The 26,887-nt window shown below is 41.5% G+C and overlaps 1 protein-coding gene across 8 annotated transcripts in view; it reads right to left on the bottom strand.

Moving 5' to 3' along the window:
• NASP (nuclear autoantigenic sperm protein) overlaps nucleotides 1–26,887 on the bottom strand; it is a 34,853-nt gene that overhangs the window by 941 nt on the left and 7,025 nt on the right. The window contains exons 2-15 of one of the 8 annotated variants that reach the window (XM_005270888.4): nucleotides 26,683–26,730; nucleotides 17,496–17,568; nucleotides 15,588–15,698; nucleotides 12,937–13,017; nucleotides 11,362–11,471; nucleotides 9,616–10,632; nucleotides 4,705–4,784; nucleotides 3,772–3,857; nucleotides 3,587–3,660; nucleotides 2,752–2,940; nucleotides 2,482–2,648; nucleotides 1,560–1,616; nucleotides 1,250–1,327; nucleotides 362–490 (exon numbers count right to left, since the gene is read on the bottom strand). In XM_005270888.4, the coding sequence (XP_005270945.1) occupies nucleotides 362–490; nucleotides 1,250–1,327; nucleotides 1,560–1,616; nucleotides 2,482–2,648; nucleotides 2,752–2,940; nucleotides 3,587–3,660; nucleotides 3,772–3,857; nucleotides 4,705–4,784; nucleotides 9,616–10,632; nucleotides 11,362–11,471; nucleotides 12,937–13,017; nucleotides 15,588–15,698; nucleotides 17,496–17,568; nucleotides 26,683–26,722 (2,292 nt within the window). In that variant the 5' untranslated portion in view covers nucleotides 26,723–26,730. The remainder of the gene's footprint in view (nucleotides 1–361; nucleotides 491–1,249; nucleotides 1,328–1,559; nucleotides 1,617–2,481; nucleotides 2,649–2,751; nucleotides 2,941–3,586; nucleotides 3,661–3,771; nucleotides 3,858–4,704; nucleotides 4,785–9,615; nucleotides 10,633–11,361; nucleotides 11,472–12,936; nucleotides 13,018–15,587; nucleotides 15,699–17,495; nucleotides 17,569–26,682; nucleotides 26,731–26,887) is intronic. The other 7 variants (XM_011541509.3, XM_005270889.4, NM_002482.4 and 4 more) reach the window with 7 other exon arrangements.

Genomic DNA, 26,887 nt, shown 5'->3' with positions numbered 1-26,887 from the left:
CTTTGCTCCCTATATTAAGAGGGCAGTGACCACAAAGTATTTCTTGAATACTCTGTGATAATGGGGCTGACAGAGCCAATAATCATCACGTGGAAGGAAGTGACCTAATGGTTTTGCCCATCAAGTGCCTTCTCATATATTCATCGAGGGACCTATAATATACAGGTTCCATTTGTCAGTGAGTCATCCTATACTCCCATAACCAAACTGTTTTCCTGCACAAGTACCGTTTTCTGTGAGGACTGCACTCAACAATCGTTAGCAGGCTCAAGGTGGGGAGCATGCACTTGAGAGGACTGATTTCCCCAGGTCCTGAGAACAAGGAATGAGGCAAGAGGCTAAGCCCTGCTTAACTGCCCACCTCCTCCTCCATGTTTTCCGAAACTTCATTTCCACTGGGGACAGCATCCCCACTGCCTCCGTTCACCTCCGGCTCTTGTTTGGCTTTCTTTGCATCATCTTTCCGGGGACTCTCTTCCTCTGGTTTCCTCTAAAGATATAATTGTGAAGGCTTCACAAATGTGCTTAATGTTTTTAAAAAGACAACTGCAAAACATTTCCTTAACCCTTGTGGTGCAAAGATCCTGAACATCAGGATTCACAGCTCTAAGGGTCTCTCTCCCTAGCCACAGGCAGATGCCAACCTGTACTCTCAGAATGTATTAATCTGTCCCACCATATCACTTCAGGCCCCTCTACCGGAAGCACAGGGAGATAGGGTTGGGGTGAGGAGATGTGAATGGTAATCACTGTACAAGTTTGAATTCCTGTGTTTGAGTCAGGAAACAGAACAGGAGTTCAGAGTTCCCTGGCTGAGGGCAGTGGCTCACGCTTATAATCCCAGCACTTTGGGATGCCGAGGTGGGTGGATCACGAGGTCAGCAGTTCAAGACCAGCCTGGTCAGTATGGCAAAACCCAGTCTCTACTAAAAATACAAAAACTAGCCAGGCGTGGTGGCGGGCGCCTGTAATCCCAGCTACTTGGGAAGCTGAGGCAGGAGAATCACTTGAACCCGGGGGGCAGAGGTTTCAGTGAGCCGAGACTGCGCCACTGCACTCCAGCCTGGGTGACAGAGCAAGACTCCGTCTCAAAACAAAACAAAACACAACAGTCTCCACTCACAAATCCTTACCACCTTTGGAAAATAAGTGTCTTATATGCACCAACTATAGGGAGGGGTTTATAGGAAAGGGATTAAAAATGGAGTCTGAGGAAACGGTAGAAAAGAAACACCACATGTAGACTTACCTTCTTTCTGACAAGGTGGGAAATATCAGTCACACAATTTGATGAGGAAGCACCGTCTGTTGGCTTTCTACTGGCAATCTGGCAAAATAAGCCCTTATTAGCAATTGTACAAGCTATATGAGATCAATGCTGAGGCTTTTATAATTTTTTAGTTTTTCAGAGACAAGGTCTCACTATGTTGCCCAAGCTAGTGTTGAATTCCAAGCCTCAGGCAATCTTCCTGCCTTGGCCTCCCAAAATGCTGGGATTACAGGCATGAGCCAACACTGAGACTTAATGTAAGTGACCAAAAAACCACCTGAATACGCACCATGGAGACTGAAGAGCCTCCTCCACCAGGAGTGAAACCTGAAGTAGAACTCTCCACCTGCGAGAAATGACAAATCCAAATTAGTTTGAAGATAGAACCCAGGCCGCCCACAGCCTTGTAACAGGAACCCATCACCATCCAAACAACTGACTAAGACCTGAAATGCTAGTGGCCTCCATATAGTATCCAGTTCTACCCCTGGCCCACCTATGCCTGTCTAGCAGCCACCCAGAGCATAGTCTATACATAGAGTGTACATAATAAACTAAATCTTCTATATCCTACCTGCAGGGTAAAAAGGTCTGTGCCAAAAACAGAACCAGGCAATTTGTGGTGAATGCCTCTCAATGCCTCATTAATTTATGCAAATGAGTTCTTGGAGATGGAAATAGCAACTTACATTTTTTAAGAAATGTCTATTTTTCCAGTACTGTCAGAAGTATATTTTACACATATGTACTACAGGTCGGGCATCCCATCCCTTAATCCAACAATCTGAAACTTTTTGAGGACTGACTGACACTCAAAGGAAATGCTCTCTGGAGCATTTCAGATTTTAGATTAAGGGTATCCAACTGTTGAGTATGATGCAAATATTCCAAAATCCAAAAGCATTTGAAATGCAAAACACTTCTGGTCTCAAGCATTCAGGTAAGGATACTCAACCTGTATTATCCCCATTTTACAAATCGGTCAACTGAGGGAGAGAAAGGCCCATGGCCACACGTAAGTATGGAATTAAAACCCAGATAGTCTGGGGCTCCAGGGTATTTCCTCTTAACCACTGCATTACTTGATAGGAATAATTAGATGAGCCCACCAACTCCCTGGAAACCAAGTCATGATGAAAAGTTCCTGGCAAATAGAACATTAACATAAATGGTACCAAACATGCTATTATCAAAATGTTAACGGAACCAACCAGAGTAGCTTTCAGAGCCAGTTCAGCTACATTCCCACTACGCTGAGACTCCTTTGCATCTTCTATCTTCTCTCTAATTTCGGGTAGCAGTTCCTTTAGTTCCTCAATTTCTTTCTTGTATTCAGCAGACGATCCTTCAGCCTCCTTCACCTGCTCGTTTAGTACAGCTAAAAAGAATAAAGTGATTAGTAATGGCTCAAAAAAGAACTGTTTTCTTCCTTGTTAATTGCTGGATCCAACATCACCATGAAGCAGCTCGTCTTCACTCACCCATTCTGTTCTCAATGACTTCAATAGATTTGCTGAACTGTGCCACTGCCTCATCATACTGAGAGTTGTACCCATAAGCCAAGCCCAGCTGGTAGTGGGTCTCTGCAAGGAGACGGTCGTGGGCTTCCAGGTACTGTTCCTGCAGGTTAAGGCAGGACTGGAACTCCTCCACAGCTTGCACATAGTTTTCTAACAAAGAGAAAAAGAAGAGCAAGTAAATGGACAGCATTCAACATAAAATACTTCCAGAATTCAGACCCATCCTATGGGAATGCACCCATATTTAACATTCCATTTTTGTTTATAGTTATTTCCAGGACCCTTGGCTATAAAGAAAGTCAAAATGACTTTTAAAAACCTACTGAGGCTGGGCGTGGTGGCTCACACCTGTAATCCCAGCACTTTGGGAGGCTGAGGCGGGCAGATCACAAGGTCAGGAGTTCAAGACCAGCCTGGCCAATATGGTGAAACCCCGTCTCTACTAAAAATACAAAAATTAACCGGGCGTGGTGGTGGGTGCCTGTAATCCCAGCTACTCGAGAGCCTGAGGCAGGAGAATCGCTTGAACCCGGGTGGCGGAGGTTGCAGTGAGCCGAGATTACGCCATTGCACTCCAGCCTAGGCGACACAGCAAGACCCCATCTCAAAAAAAACAAAACAAAACAAACCTACTGGAAGACTGAGTGCCACTTGGAAGAGACTGTTCATTGTTCCAGGGTCTACAGGGAACACAGACCTATCTTTTTAAAGATCAAGTTCGGTTCCAGAGAATCTATTAGAGGAAGAACGAGGGAGCTGAAGAGAGTAGGAGAGTATAAAATGGAAAATGCATTACCAGATTCAACACTAACTTCTCCGAGTTTAAGATGTGCCTGGGCAGCATAAAGCTGTGCTTCTTTTGTTTCTTGCCTAAAAGAAGGAAAATTGATCAAAAACCTTAACAGTACCTGTCTAACCCTAACTGGTTTCTATTTAACCACCAAACTCCCAACCCAAGCCTAGAAGCACCAAGAGTTTTACCTTTTAAAAATGATCTTTGCTAAATCCAGCATATCCCAGGCAAGCTCTAGGTTCCCAATCTCCTCCTCCTCATTTTCTTGAAGAGACTAAAGTATAACCAAATAATAAAAAGATAGGCATCTTTTTCAAATACAAATCTAAATGTATAACTTAGCGTAGCTTAAAAAAAGTTGATATACGATTCAAAATTTGGACTTTCTCCCTAAAATCTAGAGAATGGGTCCACATACTGTCTTAAGTCATGACCATGTCACTGATATTTTAACAGTGAAATGTTGGCTCACATACTAACACACAAGAACCCCAGGATCAAATATATCCACCCATCCTAGGCATGAATAAAGGGTCCCTAATCCATAATCAAGAGACAGTTATCTATAATAATCATGCCTAGGGCTGGGCATGGTGGGTTATGCCTATAATCCCAACACTTTGGGAGGCTGAGGCAGGAGAATAACTTGAAGCCAGGTTTGAGACCAGCCTGGGCAGCACAGCAAGACAGCCGTCTAAACAAAATAAAATTAGAGAACAAATTAGCCAGACATGGTGGCAGACATCTGGAGACCTAGCTATCTGAGAAGATGAGGCAGAAGGATTCCTTGAACCCAGGAGGCTAAAGATACAGTGAGCCCTGATCATGCCAGTGCACTCCGGCCTGGGCAGAGACAGAGATTCTATCTCTTAAAAAAATAATAATCGTGCCTAAACTAGGTAAGCTACAGTCCTGCAAACTAGCTGGGCATGTTGGCACAAGCCTGTAGTCCCAGCTACTTGAGAGGCTGAGGTGAGGCGATCACTTAAGCCCGGGTCTAGGCTGCAGTGAGCCATGATCATGATCACCCCACTGCAATCCAGCCTAGGCAACAAGAGTGAGCTCCAGTCTCCCAAAAACAGAAAAAGGCTGACAACAGTACTGAGTGGCTAACAACATACCTTGTTTTCAAGGACTGAATCATTTGGCATTTCTTCGGTCTTATCATTTTCTTTATCATCCTCTTCTGAGCCTTCAGTTTCTACAAGTAAAAATTCCTCAGTATTGAGAATATAACTAAGAACGTATTCTGACTAGTCAGAGATTCCAATACACGTCTCAACCTATATTCAGATAGGACAGGCCAGATGCTAATCCAAGTGAGTTAACACCTGAACTGAATATATCGTCAGTGGGTGCAGTCTAGTTCAAGTGTAACCTAGACTAAGAATGTGCAATCTTAGTCTATGGGTCAGACCTTCAGCAATTAAAAGGCTGAGTGTTTCTCTTATAAAAGTCAACCTGGACCATTCAGAATAAGAAACATTGGCTACTGCCTCTTATTCAATGGCTAGAAGCTCCCATTCATTCAGCCAGAAGCAGGTGGAGACCTCAGTCAGTGTTTCTGGTATCTTTAAGCCACTCATTAGATAATACTAATAGCCTGGGAAAGTACGAAAGTTAAATTATTCCAGTCCATTCTGATCAAGAATGCTCAAGAGACTAGCTTTCCCACAACAGAGATGTGGAGCAAAAAGCATAGTCCTTACCGACTTACACCAATGAGCATGCCACAGACTCCAGCCAGCTCTAGCACATACAGAATTTGAGTAAGGAATACTATAACCCCTATTTTACTCCTATACCTTTGCTAATGACACCTCTAAAATCTGCAGCCATATATCAACACCATATTTCACCATATTGAATACACTCACAAGTCAACCATCTAAAGGTCAGGCTCCTAATCAATAGCGCTACTGTGATTAGACAAATCAACAATGTTAAGTGATTAAAATAAGCTTTCTGTTAACACAAACAACTCATGAATTGGATATAATATGCCTCTCTCTGCCATCTTTCATTATGCATTTTTAACACCAGCAAAAAAGCTCAAACACTATCTCCAAACACTCTTACTATGGGAATATAAATATGGCAATTAGGACTTAGAGCAATCGTCAGGTCAAAGGAGTTTTATCAGCAGCAACCACAAAGAGATTCCGTTTTCAAAGAAGCTTAGAAAATACTTTAACAGGGTCAGGCGCGGTGACTCACGCCTGTAATCCCAGCTCTTTGGGAGGCCGAGGCGGGCGGATCACGAGGTCAGGAGATTGAGACCATCCTGGCGAACATGGTGAAACCCCGTCTCTACTAAAAAAAAAAACCAAAAAACAAAAAAATTAGCCAGGTGTGGTGGCAGGCGCATGTAGTCCCAGCTACTTGGGAGGCTGAGGCAGGAGCATGGCGTGAACCCAGGAGGTGGAGCTTGCAGTGAGCGGATTATCGCACCACTGCACTCCAGCCTGGGTGACAGAGCAAGACTCCGTCTCAAAAAAAAAAAAAAAAAAAAAAGATACTTTAACAAATTTACTGAGGACATCAGGGCATTGCCATTGATACCTGGGCACAAGTTGGGAAAGGTTTTAAAGTAATGGCAATGGCTGCCAGGCGCGGTGGCTCACACCTGTAATCCTAGCACTTTGGGAGGCCAAGGTGGGCAGATCACCAGGTCAGGAGATTGGGACCATCCTGGCTAACACGGTGAAACCCCGTCTCTACTAAAAATACAAAAAATTAGCCAGGCGTGGTGGCACATGCCTGTAGTCCCAGCTACTCGGGAGGCGGAGGCAGAACAATCACTTGAACCTAGGAGGCGGAGGTTGCAGTGAGCCTAGATCACGCCACTGCATTCCAGCCTGGGTGACAGAGCAAGACTCTGTCTCAAAAAAAAAAAAAAAAAAAAAAAAAAAAGTAATGGCGATGGCTTTCTCCTTAACCTAGCTCCCCACCATTCCTTGAAGATGGTACAGATTCCTCAAGAGGAACCAGTAATATTCTTCTGAAGCAATTATAGGAATTTTAATTTAAAAATTTGATGTAAAACTTCCAAGTAATTAAGATATTTTGTTTCAAATTAGAGGTTGTCTTCTAGTATTCTGGTATGAGTAGGAAGAGATACCAGGTAAGAATAGAAGATAACAATATCAATTTAATTTTTCCTACAAATTGGGAAGATGAAGTATTTACTTTTCTATCAATTATCCTACATATGTAAATCTACTTCAGCTTTTCTGCATATTCTGCTAGAGGATGGGCAGAGTTAATAAGACCATCCATCTGGTCTAACTTTGGGGAACTAAGCCCGGACCCACTTGGAAATGTGGATATGAGAAGATAATGGTGTATGGTGGGCCAGGTGCAATGGTTCACACCTGTAATCCCAGCACTCTGGGAGGCTGAGGCTAGTGGATCACCTGAGGTCAGGAGTTCGAGACCAACCTGGCCAGCATGGTGAAATCCCATCTCTAGTAAAAATACAAAAAAATTAGTCGGGCCTGGGGACATGTGCCTTTAGTCCCAGCTACTCAGGAGGCTGACGTAGGAGAATCGCTTGAACCTGGGAGATGCAGGTTGCAGTGAGCGAGACCGCACCACTGCACCCCAGCTGGGCATGGTGATACACACCCATAGTCTCAGCTGCCTGAGAGACTGAGGGAGGAAGATGGCTTCAGCATAGGAGTTTGAGGCTGTCGTGAGCCATGACTGCGATGCCACTGTACTCCAGCCTGGCAAAAGAGCAAGACCCGATTCAAAGAGAAAAAGAACAGACCAATTATCTTTATTAGAAGCAAATGTACAGCCCAACACATGGCAAAGAGTCAAGAGGTGGCAGTAAACAGGGTTTTAATTTTTAAGTGAAAAAAACTGCTTGGAAGTTTTCTGCAGAATGGTGCTGCCACGTAAAGGGAAATAAAGCACAGAAAGTAAGTGGTTGAGTACTCAAGCCAGAAGTTTGGGTAGCAGGCTTCTCCTTACTGTGTGACTAGGGCAAGTTACTTAAACCCCTTTCTCCCATTTCTTCTTTTGTAAAATATGGAAAACTGTATTGTCTTTACAAGCAGAACAGTATCTGATATACAACACCAAAAAATGCAGCATATGAAAAGCCTGGGGCTTTTAAAATATAGTTAACTTTTTAAATAAGTGACAGATTTTTTTTTTCTTTTGGAAGACAGAGACTCGCTGTGTTGCCCAGGCTGGAGCACAGCGGCATGATCTCAGCTCACTGCAACCTCTGCCTCCCGGGTTCAAGCGATTCTTCTGGTTCAGCCTCCCAAGTAGCTGGGACCACAGGCGCATGCCACCACGTCCAGCTAATTTTTGTATTTTTAGTAGAGTCAAAGTTTCAACATATTGGCCAGGCTGGTCTCAAACTTCTGACCATGTGATCTGCCCACCTCGGCCTCTCAAAGTGCTGGGATACAGGTGTGAAGCTACTGCGCCCAGCCCACGACAAAATTTCTAAGCAGTGGGTGTAGGAAAAGGATGAACACTGTCTTCTTCAATGTGTGGTAACTTGGGAAGAATAATATATTCAAGGCAGATCTGGGTTCAGATTCAGTATTATGACCCTAAACAAGTCATGTAACCTTTAAACCTCAACCTCATCACTGTAACTTGGGCAATACTACCTATCACATAGTATTGTTTTAGGATCAGATGTAATGTATGAGAGTTCTAACAATGTTAATTATGATCCAACGAGTTTTCGAACAATCTGTAAGGGACTGTGATATCTGTATTGTAGCTTACCATTCAAGGTCTTAGGGGTCAGCCAGCAGAGCTTTTTACCATCCTTGCTCACAATCATTAAGATCAAGACATGGGAGTTTTGTTTTTTTGTGTGTGTGGTTTTGTTTGTTTGTTTTTTGAGGAATTTAGTTCTGTGCTTTTTTCCATAAAGAACTCCTAAAGCTCCATTAAGAAACCCAATGGTGCTACCATTTTAGCCAATTCATTTCCAGTTACTGAGCCTGTGTTGGCTGGAGTACAGGGACCTGCACATAGGTAGAAGGAAGTTTACCAGAATGAGTTCAAAGTATTGAAGATGGGTCTCTGAAAATCTAAAACTTACGAGAACTCTTGAAGTAGTCTGGCAATTACAAGAAGTAACAATTAGTTGGAATATACCTGTGGTTATTAATGCCAATGTTAGATGAAACTTATATACAGTAGAATCCTCAAATGATAGCAAAAGTCAGACGTGCCAGTTATGTAATAATTAGAGGCTTATACACCTTAATGAAATTTAATCACACTTAGACCAATAGCATTATAGAAAGCATCCACACTTTATAATATTCTAAGTAACAAAAATTCAGTTTAGCAGCCGAAGCAAGCATGAAATGAGGAAGGAAAACAGGAAGAGAGCTAATGGTTATGTTTTCTGTTGCCTTGGGGAAGGTGGGGGGGGCCTGTTTTAACTAATGTGAATAAGCCTCTAAACACTTCCTGAAGACTTAAAGAGGGGCACCAGAATTCTTTAACTCTGGTGATACAACAGTCAAGGTTAACTGCCTTCATTTAAATGGCATGCCTGCTTCAGTGTACCAATTCAGTGGATTCTACTGCTCTGTAGCTGCTTCCCAACGCACAGAAAAGGAGTCATGTGAACAATAATTTTAAAATCCAGAGGCATGCAAGTGAACATCCATTCAGCATTCTCTGCCAGCCTAGCCCACTATTTCCCTACCTACCCCACCCCTCATCTACCTTTTCCATCCCACTTTATTGGCTAGTATGCTGCAACAAGTTACTGATAGCTAGCCAAGTCTCAGAAATCACACAGAAGGCCTATTTTGCAGTTAGTAAAAGTGTTAGTTTATAAGCCAGCTAAAGAAGACTTGCTGCTTTTGATTGAACTTACTTGACTATCACGACCTTGTTAAACTACCCCCCTTTTCATTTAGCCCTTTCCTAATCCAAAGGCAGACGGAAAATCCTGAATGGAAGGCTGACTTTTACCCATAATTAGTGAGTCAAATCCAGAATGTACTCCACCCACTGCAGCTCTTGCATATCCCGGTTACCTTCACCCTCTTTCATCTGTTCTTCTCTCTCTTGTGTCTCTTCATTAGCAGCTATCTGAACTTTGTCTTCAGGTGATTTCTCAGTAGCTCCCTGGGCTACCTTGGTATCAACCCCATCTCCAGCTGCCTCAGACTCTTCTACAGACAGCTTAGTCTCCTCCTGACTAGGAACCAGCTTTGCCCTGACCTTCTCCTCTAGTCCTGAGCCATCTTTTGTTTCTGTCAGTCTTTCTATAGAAGTCTGTGGTTCAATAGGAGTCTGATCTCCTACAACTGACGGTCCATTGACTGCACCATCCTTAGGGAGAACTGGAGCCTCCTGCCCAGGCTTTTCAGAGACTTCTGATCCAGCCTCTACAGCTGAGGCCTCTGCAGCCTCTGTTGTCACCTCTGGTGACTCTTCAGCAGGTGGTACTTCTTGACCTACCAGTTGTTCAAGAACCGCCTTTCCTGCCTCGTTTTCAGAGGTAACTACCTTCTCCTCTGGCTCGTCCCCACCCACATCCACTGGCTTGACTGTCGGGTCTAAAGACTCTGCTTCTACCTCCACTGCAGTGCCCTGCTTTTCTAGAGTCACCACAGGCTGCTCTTCTGAAACTTCTTTTGGCTTCTCCTCTATGCTCACAATTACCTCTCCCTGCTTCTCCTGACCTCCTTTTTCTCTGCACTCTTCTTGGACATCAGTTCCAGAAACTGATTTTTCTTCCTCAGCATCTGGTACTTCCTGTTCTGGCTTCCCAGAAGTGACCTCAGCTTCATTCGGTCCTTCTGGTGCTGCTCCTCCTTTTGCCTCTTCAGAGGTTTCAGTTAACCAATCTAGAGTCAAGTCAACTTTTTCCTGTGGCTCCTCTGCAGATTTACTTATATCCATATCTTCTCTTCCACCCTTCTCCATTTCACTGTCCTGTTCTTTATCAGTTTCAGGCTTTGCCAAAGACTTGTCTTCTGTTTTTTTGGCTTCTTCTTTTTCTCCCATGGCGTCATAAACCTGTTCTCTCAACTCTTCCCTTGCTTCCTCTACATGGTTAAAGAACATGAAGCATAAACATGTCTTCGAGTTTAATGATAAAGGCATAAATGGAAACTAAAAATACATTCCCTTTAAACCCTCAAAAAGCCTACCAAGTTTCAGCAGATGGCCTAAAAATTATCTGCCCCCTAGAGAAAAGGAAAGGGAGCATCCCGGCTAGCAGAGCAACTTACTGCAAAAGAAACCCAAGCTTGTTACACTAGGTATTGTTTTACTTGAGCATTCTGATTACCAGTTAGGTAAGAGATGCCAAGCTTTTCATTCTCCCCCATCTGATATGTAAAACTATAGCAGCCAAATTCAGCTTAGAAATTATATAATTTTCGCACACATAAAAAATGTACAAGGGCTCTAAAAGTACTGCTATTAAAATAACTGAACTGCACAGGCTGTTTAAAAAAATTTGCATCAGAAAAACACTTAAGGTTGTAATAGTATTTAAAACACCAATTTAATCTTGCTTTTATCTTTTTGATTTAAAAAACCCCAATCGAAATAACTGGATTTACTTGAGAAAATAAGTTATTCTCTTTCAAAAATCTGCTGTCAGCTTCAGTAAACAGCTATCCCCACTGCAATCTCCACCAGATGCAGGCATCATCACCCCAAGCATCTTAGGAGAGACCATCCAGGACAGGTAGAGCCCCGTTTCCACCACTGTATACAAGAAATATACAACGTCGCATCTCTTGAATGTCACATGCAACTCCACATACCATCTATGTTATCATTATTTTCTACCAGAGATTCATCTTCTGTTTTTTCTCCTTCTTCCTCTTCCACATGCACACCTTCCAAGGCGTTTCCCAACACACCATTCTCCATTCTAGGAGAACAAAAGAAAGCACCAAAGGTTTGATGGCTAGAACCTAGCAATTTTTTCTAAGACAGAAAATACAGTCCTATATTATAAAAGCAAGAAGTGTAAGCCAAGCGCAGGCAATACAAAACTATGTATATTCAAGGAAGCAATGATCAAAACTTTAGTAATATAAATTAAGACTGCAAGAGCACTGAAGGAAATAAGCATATTCCTCCATCCAGCCGCCTGAAAAGCATGTCTCTTGTCAAAAGAACAAGACCTATATGCATTCCATTTGTAATAGGACCATACTATTTCCCAAACTTTGTATCCACCCGATTTCTCTAAATAGCCAAAAATACTCTAGCAAGATTTTCACGGCAAATCATGAGAAAGTTCTGTATGATTACGAGATTAAAAACTTACCAGAGACCAGGCACGGTGGCTCACGCCTATAATCCCATCACTTTGGGAGGTGGAGGCAGGCAGATCACCTGAGGTCAGGAGTTCAACACCAGCCTGACCAACATGGAGAAACCCCATCTCTACTAAAAATACAAAATTAGCTGGACATGGTGGCGCATACTTGTAATCCCAGCTACTCAGGAAGCTAAGGCAGGAGAATCGCTCAAACCGGGGAGGCAGAGGTTGCGGCGAGCAGAGATCGCACCATTGCACTCCAGCCTGGGTGACAGGAGTGAAACTCCGTCTTAAAAAAAAAAAAAAAAAAACTTATCAGAACTGGGCCAGGCGCAGTGACTCACGCCTGTAATCCCAGCACTTTGGGAGGCCGAGGTGGGTGGATCACCTGAGGTCAGGAGTTCGAGACCAGCCTGGCCAACATGGTGAAACCCTGTCTCTACTAAAAATAAAAAATTAGCCGGGTGTGGTGACACATGCCTGTAGTCCCAGCTACTCAGGAGGCTGGGGCAGAAGAATCACTTGAACCCGGAAGATGAAGGATGCAGTGAGCCGAGATCGCGCCACTGCATTCCAGCCTGGGTGACAGACTGAGACTCCATCTCAAAAAAAAAAAACCTTACCAGAACTGAGATTAAATAGATGACATCATTTGCTAGTTTGTATACCCTAAACAGAACTTATTCTGATTAATAAATTCTGATAGAACATAGCCAAGAACTTTTCAATAGTAAAAGTCTTTTTTACTGGACAGTCTCACTTGCTAATTCTTTCCAGTTGTCCTCTATTCAGTCCTTGTTTTGAGCTAGCTCACAGTGCTTTTAAAGATTCTCTACACTGAACTTTGGATCATTCACTACTGGAAAGAACTTTGCTTCTACTGACTCCAAAAGTCAAAACTTAAATATAACTACTAATTGTATCAAGTGCCATTCACAACTTCCATCACTACTTCAAGCTCCTTCAAAACTCTCTAGGTAAAACCAATCTTGCTTAGCTCCTGTGAAATCTCAAAGCTAGTAAACAATCTTAACAAGGAAACTTCAGTTTTTAAATACAACATCCATACCTTGCCAACTCCAGAAGTGATTTCCCATAGAAAAAGAAGGCTTCTCCACACTCATTAGCTGTCTCTCCATACTTCTTACCTCTACAAAGAGAATAAACATCTAAAATCTGAATTACCATCTAATCTAAAACATTTAGTTCTAGTTCTTCAGTTATAAATTGATATTTCTCCAGTAACATACTCCTAGAAAACCAATACCCCTCTTGCTTTCAAGGTCAAAGTGACATTAAACAATGCATGAAAATTTTGTATGCTCTTTATCAATATATAATATATATACATCCTAAGTGACATAAATGTGCTACAATTAGTAATACATAATGTAGGGCCAAACAGCCCTAAGGTATTAATAGGTATTCCTCCTGCTAAAAGATGGATGTCAGTATGGATCAGAATAGTTAAAGGACCTTTGGCTGGGACCTAGAGGATGATTAAGGCCCATGGAAAGGCATGATGTAAAGCGCAGAATATCTGGAGTTCTTCTAACTGGATTCAAATCCTACCTTTAACCCATAACTAGCTGTGAGACCTTAGACAAATTATTCTCACAGTGCCTTAGTTTTCTCATCTGTAAAATGGGAATGTTAATAACTGTTTGTTCAAAGAGCTATTGCAAGAACTAAATGAGTTAATGTATGTAAAAGCACTGAAAACAATGTTTAGACAACAAATAGCACTGTGTATTAAGTCTTAGCTATTAATATCTAGACAGAAGGAAGAAGGACAAAAATTACGTAAGTATAATGAACAAAAGGAGAAAGTACTTCTCTATGTAAGGTAAGAAGACTGGCTTTCATGGAGTAAAATACTGGCAGAATTCATGCAAAGTCAGGCCAACTAATGGCCTAAGAGTCTATTGAGAGTAACTAGAGAATCTAAGCAGTAAATTGTGATGGAGGTCATGTTTAAGGGTAGTCTACTAGATTAGAATAAGACATCTCAAATTTTCCTCCTAAATACCCTTAATGGCAGGAAAGTGGGAATACTGACCTCTCCAGTAATCTGGGAAAAATAACCTAAGAGAAAGTATTTATGTGTGCTTAAAAACTTAGGTAACATTTTATGTTGTAAGACAACCATGCATTTTTAAATAAAAATACCTAAATACAGCTGGGCACAGTGGCTCACGCCTGTAATCCCAGAACTTTGGGAGGCCGAGGTAGGTGAATCACCTGAGGTCGGGCGTTCGAGACCAGCCTGACCAACATGGAGAAACCCCATCTCTACTAAAAATACAAAATTAGGCAGGCGTGGTGATGCATGCCTGTAATCCCAGCTACTTGGGAGGCAGAGGCAGGAGAATCACTTGAACCAGGGAGGCGGGGGTTGCAGTGAGCTGACATCGCGCCATCGCACTCCAGCCAGGGCAACAAGAGCGAAACTCCCATCTCAAAAAAAAAAAAAAAAAAAATCTCTAAATACTACCAGATAAAATTTAGTCTCTCAGAGCCCCAATTCATTAAGGTCAAACAGAGAGGAACAAAGAGGACAGGAATCAGACAAAAGATTTTTGCAGATATCCAGGAGTAAGATTCTGTTCTGGATGTTGGCAGAGGCAGTAGGGGTTTAGGAAAAGAATGGATTGATATTAAGCGTCAAACCTGAAACCCACAAACGCTTTGTTATAACCATTTCTTTTATAAGGAAGATTTAACTTAACTATATGTAATGTAATCAACTGTATGTAATGTATGCAATGATTGACCTTCAAGTTCAATTGCAATTGCTAATACTATATTTGAGGAAACTCAAACCTCGCCATAGACCAAAAGCCTGTTGCTTGACGATTTAACTTGCTTTTTTTTCTCTCAGATAATGGAGGTACATTAAAGTCTTTGGGGAAAATAAATGATCTTTAAGGCACTAAAGCTAACCTTTTCCTCCAGGATATAGGTCTATATGGCTACCTGGTGGTAGCTACCAACTTCTAAGCAAATCCAACAACAGTGCTAAGAATGTATGAAAAATGTGCTAAAAATGTATGAAAAAATGCTGTGCTAATAATAGCACTATCAATCATGACTTGCTTGGACCTAAAGAGTTTCCACAGACACAGAACTTCTAGTGTTAAAACTCGGAAAGTCAGGCTGGGGCTCAGTGGCTCATGCCTGTAATCCCTTTGCAAAGCACTCTGGGAGGCCAAGGTGGACGAATCGCTTAAGCCCAAGAGTTCGAGACCAGCCTGGGCAATGTGGGGAAACCCCATCTCTACCAAAAGAAATACAAAAATTAGCTGGGCATGGTGGCACACACCTATGGTCCCAGCTACTGGGGAGCCTGGGAGGTTGAGGCTGCAGTGAGCATGAGATTGTGCCACTGCACTCCAGCCTGGGTGACAGAGACCCTGTCTCAACAAAAAAAAGCGGGGGTGGAGAGATGGGGAGAGGGGTCCTAGATAAACCAGGACAAGGTGTGGTCACCCAAATTAGTAGTGACTGGAATACAAATTACATACTCAGGAAAATGAAAGGGTGGAACTGCTTGGTGATATTTAAGTTTTACACTTATAGTTACTGGTACAAACCACATGAAAAATAATCAAATGTTTTAAAACTCTTGCTCTTCATGCTTTTTCCCCATAAAATAATTTTTGATAACTCAAGGTTTATTAGAACATAATATTACATCATAGCAAAATATACAATACTTACAAAAGACTAGCTGCTTCCTGGAATGCATTGACAGCTGCTGGAATATCCCCCATCACCAGATGTTTCTGTCCTAAACCCAATAGTTTCTTAGCTTCACTATCCACATCCAGACTGCAAAAAAAAGATTTTTTCTAGTGTCAAGTACTGTTTAAATCAGTATTTTTTGAATACCTGCTACATTTGAGCAATAGTTTCATTTTTTAAAACTTTTGGACTACTCTGGCAAGGCCTGGCTAACACACTTATTTACCATCACAAAATCAAAAGAAATCTTAAAGGCAACATTCCCAGAAGCCTGACTAGAGTATTTTCTCAGTTGGGTGCGGTGACTCATGCCTGTAATCCCAGCACTTTGGGAGGCCGAGGCGGGCAGACCACGAGGTCAGGAGATCGAGACCATCCTGGCTAACATGGTGAAACCCCGTCTCTACTAAAAATACAAAAAATTAGCCGGGCGTGGTGGCGGGTGCCTGTAGTCCCAGCTACGGGAGGCTGAGGCAGTAGAATGGCATGAACCCAGGAGGCGGAGCTTGCAGTGAGCTGAGATGCGCCACTGCACTCCAGCCTGGTCAACAAAGCGAGACTCCACCTCAAAAAAAAAAAAAAAAAAAAAAAAAAAATTCTCTTAACGGCTCATCTAATCACAAAGCCTGTATTGTATATTACTATAAATATTTCCTAATTGATCCACAAATAAAAAAGGTATCATAAAAGAACCATAAATTCATACAAATTGCACTAGCTAAAAGAAATATTAAAATTAAGAAGCATTTAGGTAAACAGGGCAAGAGGCAGTGATTTCAAGATTAAGACAATGTAGTATTGGCATAAAGAAAACCAAATGGATCAAATAGAACACAGAGTACAAAAACAGATCCATGCATATATGACTGACTGAAATTTTGAAAAAGGTACCAAGGCAATGCAATGAGGAATGGATAATCTAACAAATGGTGCTGGAGTAATTATAAATCCACATGCAATAAAGTGAACCTCAACTGTTATCTCATATCTCATACAAAAATTAATCTGCAATGGATCATAGGCTTTCTAAATATAAGATTTAAACCATAAAGTTTCTACAAGAAAATACAGGATAAAATCTTAGTGACTTTGGCTTTGGCAAAGACTTCTTGAATATGAAAGAAAAAGCACAAACTATTAACAAGAGGAAAAAAAATCAATAAACTAGACACACCACTAAAATGAAAAACTTGGTTTTGAAAGACACTGTTATAAAAACAAAAAAGGCAGGCCCAACTGGGAGAAAATATATGCAAAACTTCTGATAAAGGACTTGAATATATAAAGAACTCTTAGAACGTAGTAATAAAAAACAATCCAATAAAAAGGGGGCGAAAGATTTTAACAAACATGTCATCAAAGATACACAGATGGCAAATAAGCACATGAAAAGATGCCAACATTATTGCTCACTCAAAAAAATACAAACTAAACCCACAATAAGATACTGCTATATTCACTATAATAGCTAAAATTTTAAAAGACTGACCACATATCAAATGATGGTGAGGATGTAGGGCAACTAGAACTGTCAAACACTGCTGGTAAGAATGTAATGGTAGAATCACTTTAGAAAACAGTTTGGACGTTTCTTAAAGTTAGATATATACCTACCATATGATCTAGCCATTCTACTCCTAGGTGTGAACCCAAAAAATGGAAATGAATGCCCATACAAAGACTTGTACACAAATATTCACAGCAGCTTTATTTGTAAGCCAAAAACTGGAAACCCAAATGGATAAACAAATTGTGATATATCTACATCATAAAATGTCATTCACTAACAAAAAGAATGAACTATTAATACAGGTGGTAACATGGATGAATCTCAAAATAATTATGCTGAATCAAAGAAACTATACAAAAAGAAACAGTACTTACTGTATGATTCTATTTAGATAATATTCTACAAAATGCAACCCATCTTCAGTGACAGAAAGCAGATTAATGGTTGCTGGGGAGGGAATGAAGTACAAAGGCACATGAGGAAAAAACTTTGAGGTGATGAAAATACTCATTATCTTGATTGTGATAATGGTTTACAGGTGTATACATATGTAGAAACTCATAATTGTTACTTTAAAGTTATGTGCAGTTTCCTGTATGTCACTTAGACTTTCATTTAATGTTTCTTATAGCTTTAAGAAAAACCTGGGTCAAAAGAGCAAGAGTCAGTGACATTTTAAGTTCCATTAATGAAAACCAAATTATTTGGAAGGATAATCCCTCTTCTTAATTCAATCAACAATACTTGGGTACCTGATATTGCTGGGCACAATTCCAGACACTGTGATTATAACAAGAATGAGCTAAGACCACAGGGACAATGTCAAATTGAAGCAGAGAACTTAAGAAGGCAAGCCAAAAAAAAAAAAAAAAAAAAAATACAGAGGAAAAGCACTCTAGGACAGAGGCAATAGTAAGTTCAAAGCTCTAAAAGAAGCTTGCTTAAAATATTTGAGAAACAGAAAACTCTTCTGGCTAGAGTAAGCTGGGGAAGAATTATGGGAAATAAAGGTGAGGAAGAGGGAGAGAGCAGCATCACATTAGTATAGACTTTAAGATAGAACAAGAACAGAACTGGGGAGAAAACCAGTTGGAAAGAAAGTCTGGCCGGGCAGCAGTGGCTCATGCCTGTAATCCCAGCACTTTGGGAGGCTGAGGCGGGCAGATCACAAGGTCAGGAGTTCGAAACCAGCCTGGCCAAGATGGTGAAACCCCCCTCTCTTCTGAAAATACAAAAGTTAGCCGGGCGTGGTGGTGTGTGCCTGTAGTCCCAGCTACTCGGGAGACTGAGGCAGAAGAATTGCTTGAACCAGGGAGGCAGAGGTTGCAGTGAGCCGAGATTGTGCCACTGCACTCCAGCCTGGGTGACAGGGCGAGACTCCATCTCAAAAAAAGAAAAGAAAAGAGAAGAAAAGAAAAAGTCTAAGGCTGAGCATGGTGGCTCATGCCTGTAGTCCCAGCACTTTGGGAGGCGAAGGTGGGAGGATCACTTGAGCCCAGGAGTTAGAGACTAGCATCTCTATAGGAAAATACAAAAATTAGCTGACATCACGGTATGCACCTGTAGTCCCCGTTACTCGCAAGGCTAAGGCAGGAAGACTGTTTGAGCCCAGGAATTCAAGGCTGCAGTGAACTAGGATCACACTGCTGCACTCCAGCGTGGGCAACAGAGCAAGACCCTATGTCCAAACAAACAAACAAACAAACAAACAAAAACACTCTTTCTCTATTTAAAAAAAAAGGAAAGAAACCGTAAAAATCTAGACAGGAACCTGAGGAGTATTAGAGAGGGTTAGATTCTGAATATACTTATTTTAAAATTTGCTAATGGACTAGATATATAATTTATTGAATGAAAGAGGTGAAGCAAATGTTTTTTTGGCCGGGGCAACTGGTATTAAGTGTTAATAATGGACTATGTAGAAATTTTATCTACATTTAAATCCTAGGATCTACACCTCATAAAGTTATTGAATTATTACCCCCACTTTACAGATGGAAAACTGAATATTAATGGCAGCGATTCAAATCTACACAATCTAGATGAAAAGTTCTAGAACAACATTGCCACTGACTGATTAAAAAGTCAACTGAAGGAAAAGCCAGTGAGAAACAAGGCAATCAATTACTGTACAGTATTTAGCTTTGGATATGTTAATTCTGAGATCCCTATTAGACCTCCAAGATATTAAAAGGGAGAAATTTGGGAGAGATATGGGGACTGGAGATACAAATGGGAGAGTCAGGTACTTAAAGCCACTGGACTTAACAGAGGAGAATACACAGGGAGTGGCTACTAATAAAGACGTTGTAGGACTGACTGAGCCCTGGGAGCCTTCCAACATTTAGAGGTAGGGACGACAAGGAAGAATGGGGGTTGAGGGGAATAGCCAGTGAAGGAAAAGAGACAAGAAAATAGTATGAAGAAAACTAATGGGTCCAGGCACAGTGACTGGCCAACATGGCGAAACCCCGTCTCTACTAAAAATACAAAATTAGCCGGGCATGGTGGTGCACACCTGTAATCCCAGCTATTTGGGAGGCTGAGGCAGGAGAATTGCTTAAACCTGGGAGAAGGAGGCTGCAGTGAGCCAAGATCGTGCCATTGCATTCAAGCCTGGGTGACAGAGCAAGACTCCATCTCAAAAAAAAAAAAAAAAGTAACAGGAGTAATGGATTGGGTCAAATGTTACTGACAAGATTAACTCAGAGAGCTGAGAAATGACTACTAGAGTAAGGAATATGGATGGTACTAAAGACCATAAACAAGACTATTTTAGTAGAATGGTAGAGAAAAACTTGATTGAAGCAGCTTCAATTAAGAACAAAAGTAGTAGCAGATAAACAGAGTGGACACCTTTCACATTTTCCTGTCAAAGAAACTGATGTGAGGTAATAGACGAAGGGAAGTATGAGGGGGTCAACAAACGGTTAAATCTGATGATACCTAGTGGGCTGATATAAGTAATCTCATAGGAAACAAGAAGAGTATTGTTGCATAAAGAACTAAAGGAGTTCTATTATTAAGTAAATAATGAGTGGGATCTTGTGAACAAACGGAGATGCTGGTGTTATGTAAGAGCAAAGAAACTATGATGTCAGGATCCTTTACACTGTTACGTTACTGAAGCCCCCCAAAAAGCCTCTGTGTATCCAAGTTATATCTGTCAGTATTTGCCATACTGAAATTAAAACTAAAATAATTTTAAATAGTTTAAAATGTTACATGTTAATAACATGACTTTCTTTGAAAAATAACTCTTCAAAACAAAAATTTGGTAAGAATAGTGGCACTGTTTTACATTTTTACAAATCTCCTAAATGTCTGTTAGTAGAAGAGAACAGGATTTTCATATTCACTACTCTACCGTGTTTTCTTTTCATTAAAGTACAGGAATATCTGACTTGATACAGATATGTAGTTGGAAACAGAATATTTAAACAGTCCTTTCAGATAACTGGATATTCTTCTGTTACCACACCCAAACCCAACAAGTGGTCATTTGTCTTAAAAAAAAAAAAAAAAAAAAAAAAGTCTTGCTCTGTCGCCCAGGCTAGAGTGCAGTGGCACGATCTCAGCTCACTGCAACCTCCACCTCCTGGGTTGAAACCATTCTTGTGCCTCAGCCTCCCCAGTAGCTGGGATTAAAAGCGGGCACCACCACACCCAGCTAATTTTTGTATTTTTAGTAGAGACGGTTTCACCATGTTGGCCAGGCTGGTCTCAAACTCCTGACCTCAAGTGATCCGCTGCCTTGGCCTCCCAAAGTGCTGGGATTACATGCGTGAGCCACCATGCCCAGCCAACAAGTGGTAATTTCTTTTTTCTTTTCTTTTTTTTCTTTTTTTTGAGACAGCGTCTCACTCTATTGCCCAGGCTGGAGTGCAGTAGTGCGATCTCAGCTCACTGCAACCTCTGCCTCCCAGGTTCAAGCGATTCTCCTGCCTCAGCCACTTTGAGTAGCAGGGATTACAGGGACATGCCACCATGCCCCGCTAATTTTTGTATTTTTACTAGAGACAGGGTTTTACCATGTTTGCCAAACTGGTCTCGAACTCCTGATTCTCTCGCCTCAGCCTCCCAAAGTACTGGGATGCAGGCGTGAGCCACAGCACTTGACCAACAAGTGGTAATTTCTTAAAGGTTAGTTGTACTGTATAATCTGAAAACACTGATGAACTTCTCATACTGGTACATTAAAAACCAGTCTATCTTGTATTCTAGATCTTCTACTTATGAACGATTACATAAACCCAACGTCACAGCAGCAGTACTCACAATAAAAAGCAAGGAAATTCTGACACACCACAACATGGATGAACGTTAAGAACACTATGCTAAGTGAAATAAGCCAGTCACAAAAAGGTAAATATTCTATTATTCCATTTATACGAGGTACCTAAAGTAGCCAAATTCAGAGACAGAAAGCAGAATGGTGGTTGCCAGGGGCTAGGGAAGACAGAAAGAGGGAGTTGTTTACTGGGTAATAGTTTCAGATTTGCAAGATAAGATTGGGTATACGACAATGTGAATTTACTTAACACTACTGACTTACACGCTTAAAAAGATGGAAAATTTTATATTATATGTGTTTTACCACAACTTAAAAATCAATTTCATCAGAACAGTCAAAGTATTAGGATACTGTCAGTCTCACAACAGCAGTTGATATATAACTTATCCAAAATTTTTATTTTTCATGTGAAAGCTCACATTCTATCACTAGCACCCAATACTGTCAGTTATTTCCCTTAAAGTGACAGGCTCACTGTATTCATTTTGGAGAAAACATCTGCTAAGTATCAAGTCTAAATAAAAGTTTGTCTGTTGGTCATTCTTTCAAAAATAAAACTTTCAAATAAAACATTCTTTCGAATAAAAGCCAGTAAAGTTACATGAAAAAAGTAGCTCAATCAACTCTTAATCACACAAGGGCTTTTCATAAAGAAAACCATGGTAGCCACTTTTGATATGCTGAAGCGCTCCATCCATAATTCCTATTTTGCCAGGTTACCTTAAAACCATGTAGTCAAGGACTGAGAATTAATAAACTTCAGTTTGTAACGCTTCATCATGGACATTTTCTAAGTGAAGGTGATAGTGAAGAACACAAGAATTGCTAGTACTATTTGTTGCCACTGCCTTGATTTATGTTAAGGTAACAGCAGGTTTATCCACCATTACTTTTGCACAATCACTGCCAGTGGTCAAAAAGGCAGTCTTGTTATTACAATAACAGTTTTGATCTTACATTATCCCTGAAAGAGTACTGGAGACCCCAAAGGTATACAAGAAAAAAACTTTGAGAACTGCTGAATAAGAGCATGAACAGGCATTCAAAAGGAGAGACTATATGGGCACAGATTTATGGCACAGTGTTAAGAAATTTCTCTTCATATTGTTTATTCAGTGAACAAACAAAAATCCAGAACCAAATATAAAACAAAGGAAAATCATCAGGTAAAAGCAAGATGACGGGTATGGTGTTGAATGTTTAAGAATATATAAAGAAAAAGTTGATCAGCTGGGTGCAGTGGCTCATGCCTGTAATTCCAACAACTCAGGAGGCTAAGGAGGGAGCATCATAGGGAGGGCAGAAGTTCAAGACCTGCCTGAGCAACATAATAAGACCCTGTCTCTAAAACACACACACACACACACACACACACACACACACACACACACACACACACACACACACAAAACTTAGTCTGGCAGGCTGAGGCAGGAGTATCTCTTGGTCCAGGAGTTTGAGGCTGCACCAAGCCAGGATCAGGACCCACTGTACTCCAGCCTGAGTGGCTGAGCAATACCCTGACTCAAGGGGGGAAAAAAAAGAAGGAAAGATTAAGCAGTTCCGCAGAATGGGAAAACAACTTGACCGGAGAAATGCGGTATAACTGCCAATCAAAACTAAAAACCCACTTCAGGTCAGAGGTTATAAATTTAAGGTGAGACTAATAATGTGTTTTCCAACCATCCTTCATGTTTCTCTCAGAATCAGAATATTCTGGTCCTCTAAAAATCAAATGCTTATGCCAAGCATAGTGGCTCACACCTGTAATCCCAGCACTTCAGGTGGCTGAGGTGAGAAGATGGCTTGAGCCCCAGCCTGGGCAACGTGACGAAACCTCATCTCTAAAAACAAAATACAAAAATTAGCCAGGCATAGTGGCACACATCTGTGATCCTAGCTACCCAGGAGTCTAAGGCAGGAGGATCACCTGAGCCCAGGGAAGGTCAAGGCTGCAGTGAGCCACGATCGCTCCACTGTACTCCAACCTGGGCAGTGAAGTTTAATACTGATGATTACATATCAAGCACTGTGTTTTGGATAGCCTAGCTACATTTAGTCAGTCCAGAAACTTAAATACTATGGTACATCCTATGAGTAACCCCCTTGAAAGTATTGTGTTTAGGATCAACCCTAAACAGTATTCAGTATTCATACCACCCAAATACCAGATTAACTCACAAGAAATTTTGTTGTTGTTTGTTTTTTTTTTTTGAGAGTTTCGCTCGTCACCCAGGATGGAGTGCAGTAGCGTGATCTTGGCTGACTGCAACTTCCACCTCCCGGGTTCAAGTGATTCTTCTGCCTCAGCCTCCCAAGTAGCTGGAATTACAGGCGCTAGCCACCACGACCGGCTAATTTTTGTATCTTTTTTAGTAGAGACGGGGTTTCACCATGTTGGCCAGGCTGATCTTGAACTCCTGACCTCAGGTGATTCACCCACCTCAGCCTCCCAAAGTGCGTGAGCCACCGCGCCTAGCCCTATTTTGTTTCTTTCCTTTTTTTTTTGGAGACAGGGTCTCACTCTGTCACCCAGACTAGAGTGCAGTGGCAGGATCATAGCTCACCACCACCTCGACTTCCTGGGCTTCCGCAATCCTCCTACCTCAGCCTCCCCAGTATCTGGGACCACACGCAAGTGCCACAACGAACAGTTAATTAAAAAAAAAATTTTTTTTTTTTGTACAGATGGCGTCTTGCTATGTTGCCCAGGCTGGTCTCGAACTCCTGGGGTCATGTGATCCTCTCAGAGATGGAGGTCTTGCTTGGCCTCCCAAAGTGTTGGGATTACTGGTGTAAGCTACCACACCCAGCCAAGCAGTATTTCATAAGACTTATTTTAACCCTTTTCCCGTTTAAGAGAAAAAAAAAAAAGTACAGCTCATTGCCAGCACTCATTTAATTTTACATAAACATGTTCTTTGAAGCTGAAGCAAATCTGACTTTCAGCATGAAAATAAAAATATAAAACTGTTCTCGGAGTTTTTTTTTTTTTTTTTTTTGGGGGGGGACAGTCTCACTCTGTCACCCAGGCTGGAGTGCAGTGGCACAATCTTGGCTCAATGCAACCTCCACCTCCCAGGTTCAAGTGATTCTCTTGCCTCAGCCTCCCGAGTAGCTGGGATTATAGGCGCCCGCCACCACGCTCAACTAATTTTTGTATTTTTAGTAGAGAGAGGGTTTCACCATGTTGGCCAGGCTGGTCTTGAACTCCTGACCTCAAGTGATCAGCCCACTTCAGTCTCCCAAAGTGCTGGGATTACAGACATGAGCCACCTGCCTGGCCGGAGTTATTTCTAAACACAACTAATATCAGAATCGCCTATTTCATAAAAATTGGATTCATCAAATGAATCTTTGGCCAACAACCATTTGAGAATGATGTTAACATCATACATAGGAATGCTACGTTTTCTAGGATTTGACATTTACAGCAATCGAGAATTACCCTATTTTGTAAATGGAAATAACCATTACTAAAAACAGAGTGCTATAAACAGAATGATGTCTTTTTATCCAAAATCTATATATTAGAGTGATGTGAAAATAATAATAAAGGAGAGCTATTTCATGGCAGTTTTCACTGGGTAAATGCAGCAGCCCCAAGCACCACCAGCAAGTATTCTCAGGGCAAATGGGAAAAGGGTTAAATAACCAAGATGACAACAGGATTTCAAACATGAAAAACATAAAACCCTATGGACGCTTAAAAAATGTATTTGTGGCCGGGTGTGGTGGCTCACGCCTGTAATCCCAGCACTCTGGGAGGCCAAGACGGGCAGATCGCCCGAGGTCAGGAGTTCGAGACCAGCCTGACCAACATGGCGAAACCCTGTCTCTACTAAAAATACAAAAATTAGCCGGGCATGGTGGTGGGTGCCTGTAATCCCAACTACTTGGGAGGCTGAGGCAGGAGAATCGCTTGAACCCGGGAGGCAGAGGTTGCAGTGAGCCAAGATCATGCCATTGCACTCCAGCCTGGGTGACAGAGTGAGACTCCATCTCAAAAAACAAACAAACAAAATATTTGTAAGATATTCTAACAGTAATAATTCTCAATCTTATCAGAAAGCTTTTCCATAACACATGAACCCAAATTTTATCTCAAGCTCAACAAATAAAATCAGCTGGGCATGGTAGATCAGGCTGGTAATCCCAACACTTAGGGAAGCCAAGGCAGGGGGATTGCTTGAGCCCAGGTTGGAGACCACCCTGGCCAACAAAGCAAGACTCCGCTTCGAAAAATATAATTCGGGTGGGCACAGTGGCTCACGCCTGTAATCCCAACACTTTGGGAGGCCAAGGCGGGCAGATCACCTGAGGTCGGGAGTTCAAGACCAACCTGGCCAACATGGTGAAACCCCATCTCTACTAAAAATAGAAAAATTAGCTGGGTGTAGTGGCACCCGCCTGTAATCCCAGCTACTTGTGAGACTGAGGCAGAATTGCTTGAACCCAGGAGGCAGATGTTGCAGTGAGCCAAGATTGCGCCACTGCACTCCAGCCTGGGCGACAAGAGTGAAACTCAGTCTAAAAAATAAATAAAATAATTAGCCAGATGTGGTGGTGCATGCCTACAGTCCCAGCTACTCAGGAGGCTGAGGCAGAAGAATCCCTTTAGCCCGGGAGTTCGAGGTGGTGGTGAGCTATGATAACATCACTGAACTCCAGCTTGGGCAACAGAGCAAGACCCTGTCTCTAAAAAATGAAACAAGAAATCTCTAGGGATGTAACCTACCATCTACCTTTTGGGTAAGCTTTTTAGTTAATTATTATGCCCACCTCTGATTAAGAAACATAGTCACTACGGGTGTAGATCTGAGATAAAGAAAAACAAAAAACCATAGCCATATCAAGATGGAAACGTTACAGGGGGAGGAGGTGAGACGGGCCTGGTAGTTCACACCTATAATCCTACACTTTGAAAGGCTTAGGCAGGGAGGAATGCTTGAGGCTAGGAGTTTGAGACCAGCCTTGGCAACATAGCAAGACCCCATCTCTCCAAAAAATTTAAAAATGAGCGAAGTGTAGTGGCATGTGCCTATAGTCCTAGCTACTCAGGAGGTTGAAGTGGGAAGATTGCTTGAGCCCAGGAGTTCAAGGTTGTAGTGAGCCCTGATTGCACACTGCACTTCGGCCTGAGCAACAAAGCGACACCTTGCCTCTATCAAAAATAAATTAATTAAAAAATAAAAATAACTTTAAAGTTATATTGCTCTTAGTTTATGTTTCTGATACGAATCTAACTACCATGTAAATAATCTTACCTCTCCACTTTATCTGCAGATGTAGAAGGAGCAGGAACATCTTCAATTCTGTAATAAAAAATTAAAGGGGAAAAAATGTAAAACTGGAGGCAATTATTAAGCCTGAAAATAAAATAAATTCAGAAAAATATAAAGGAATAAAAGAGCTGTCATTTATTAAATACTCAAGTATTATTTACTTACTTACATTATCAAATTTAATTCA

The sequence above is a fragment of the Homo sapiens genome, chromosome 1, assembly GCF_000001405.40.
Source record: "Homo sapiens chromosome 1, GRCh38.p14 Primary Assembly".
NCBI classification, from domain to species: Eukaryota; Metazoa; Chordata; class Mammalia; order Primates; family Hominidae; genus Homo; species Homo sapiens.
The sequence above is the reverse complement of the archived record's forward strand: the minus strand, read 5'-3'. Positions and strand labels throughout refer to the sequence as shown.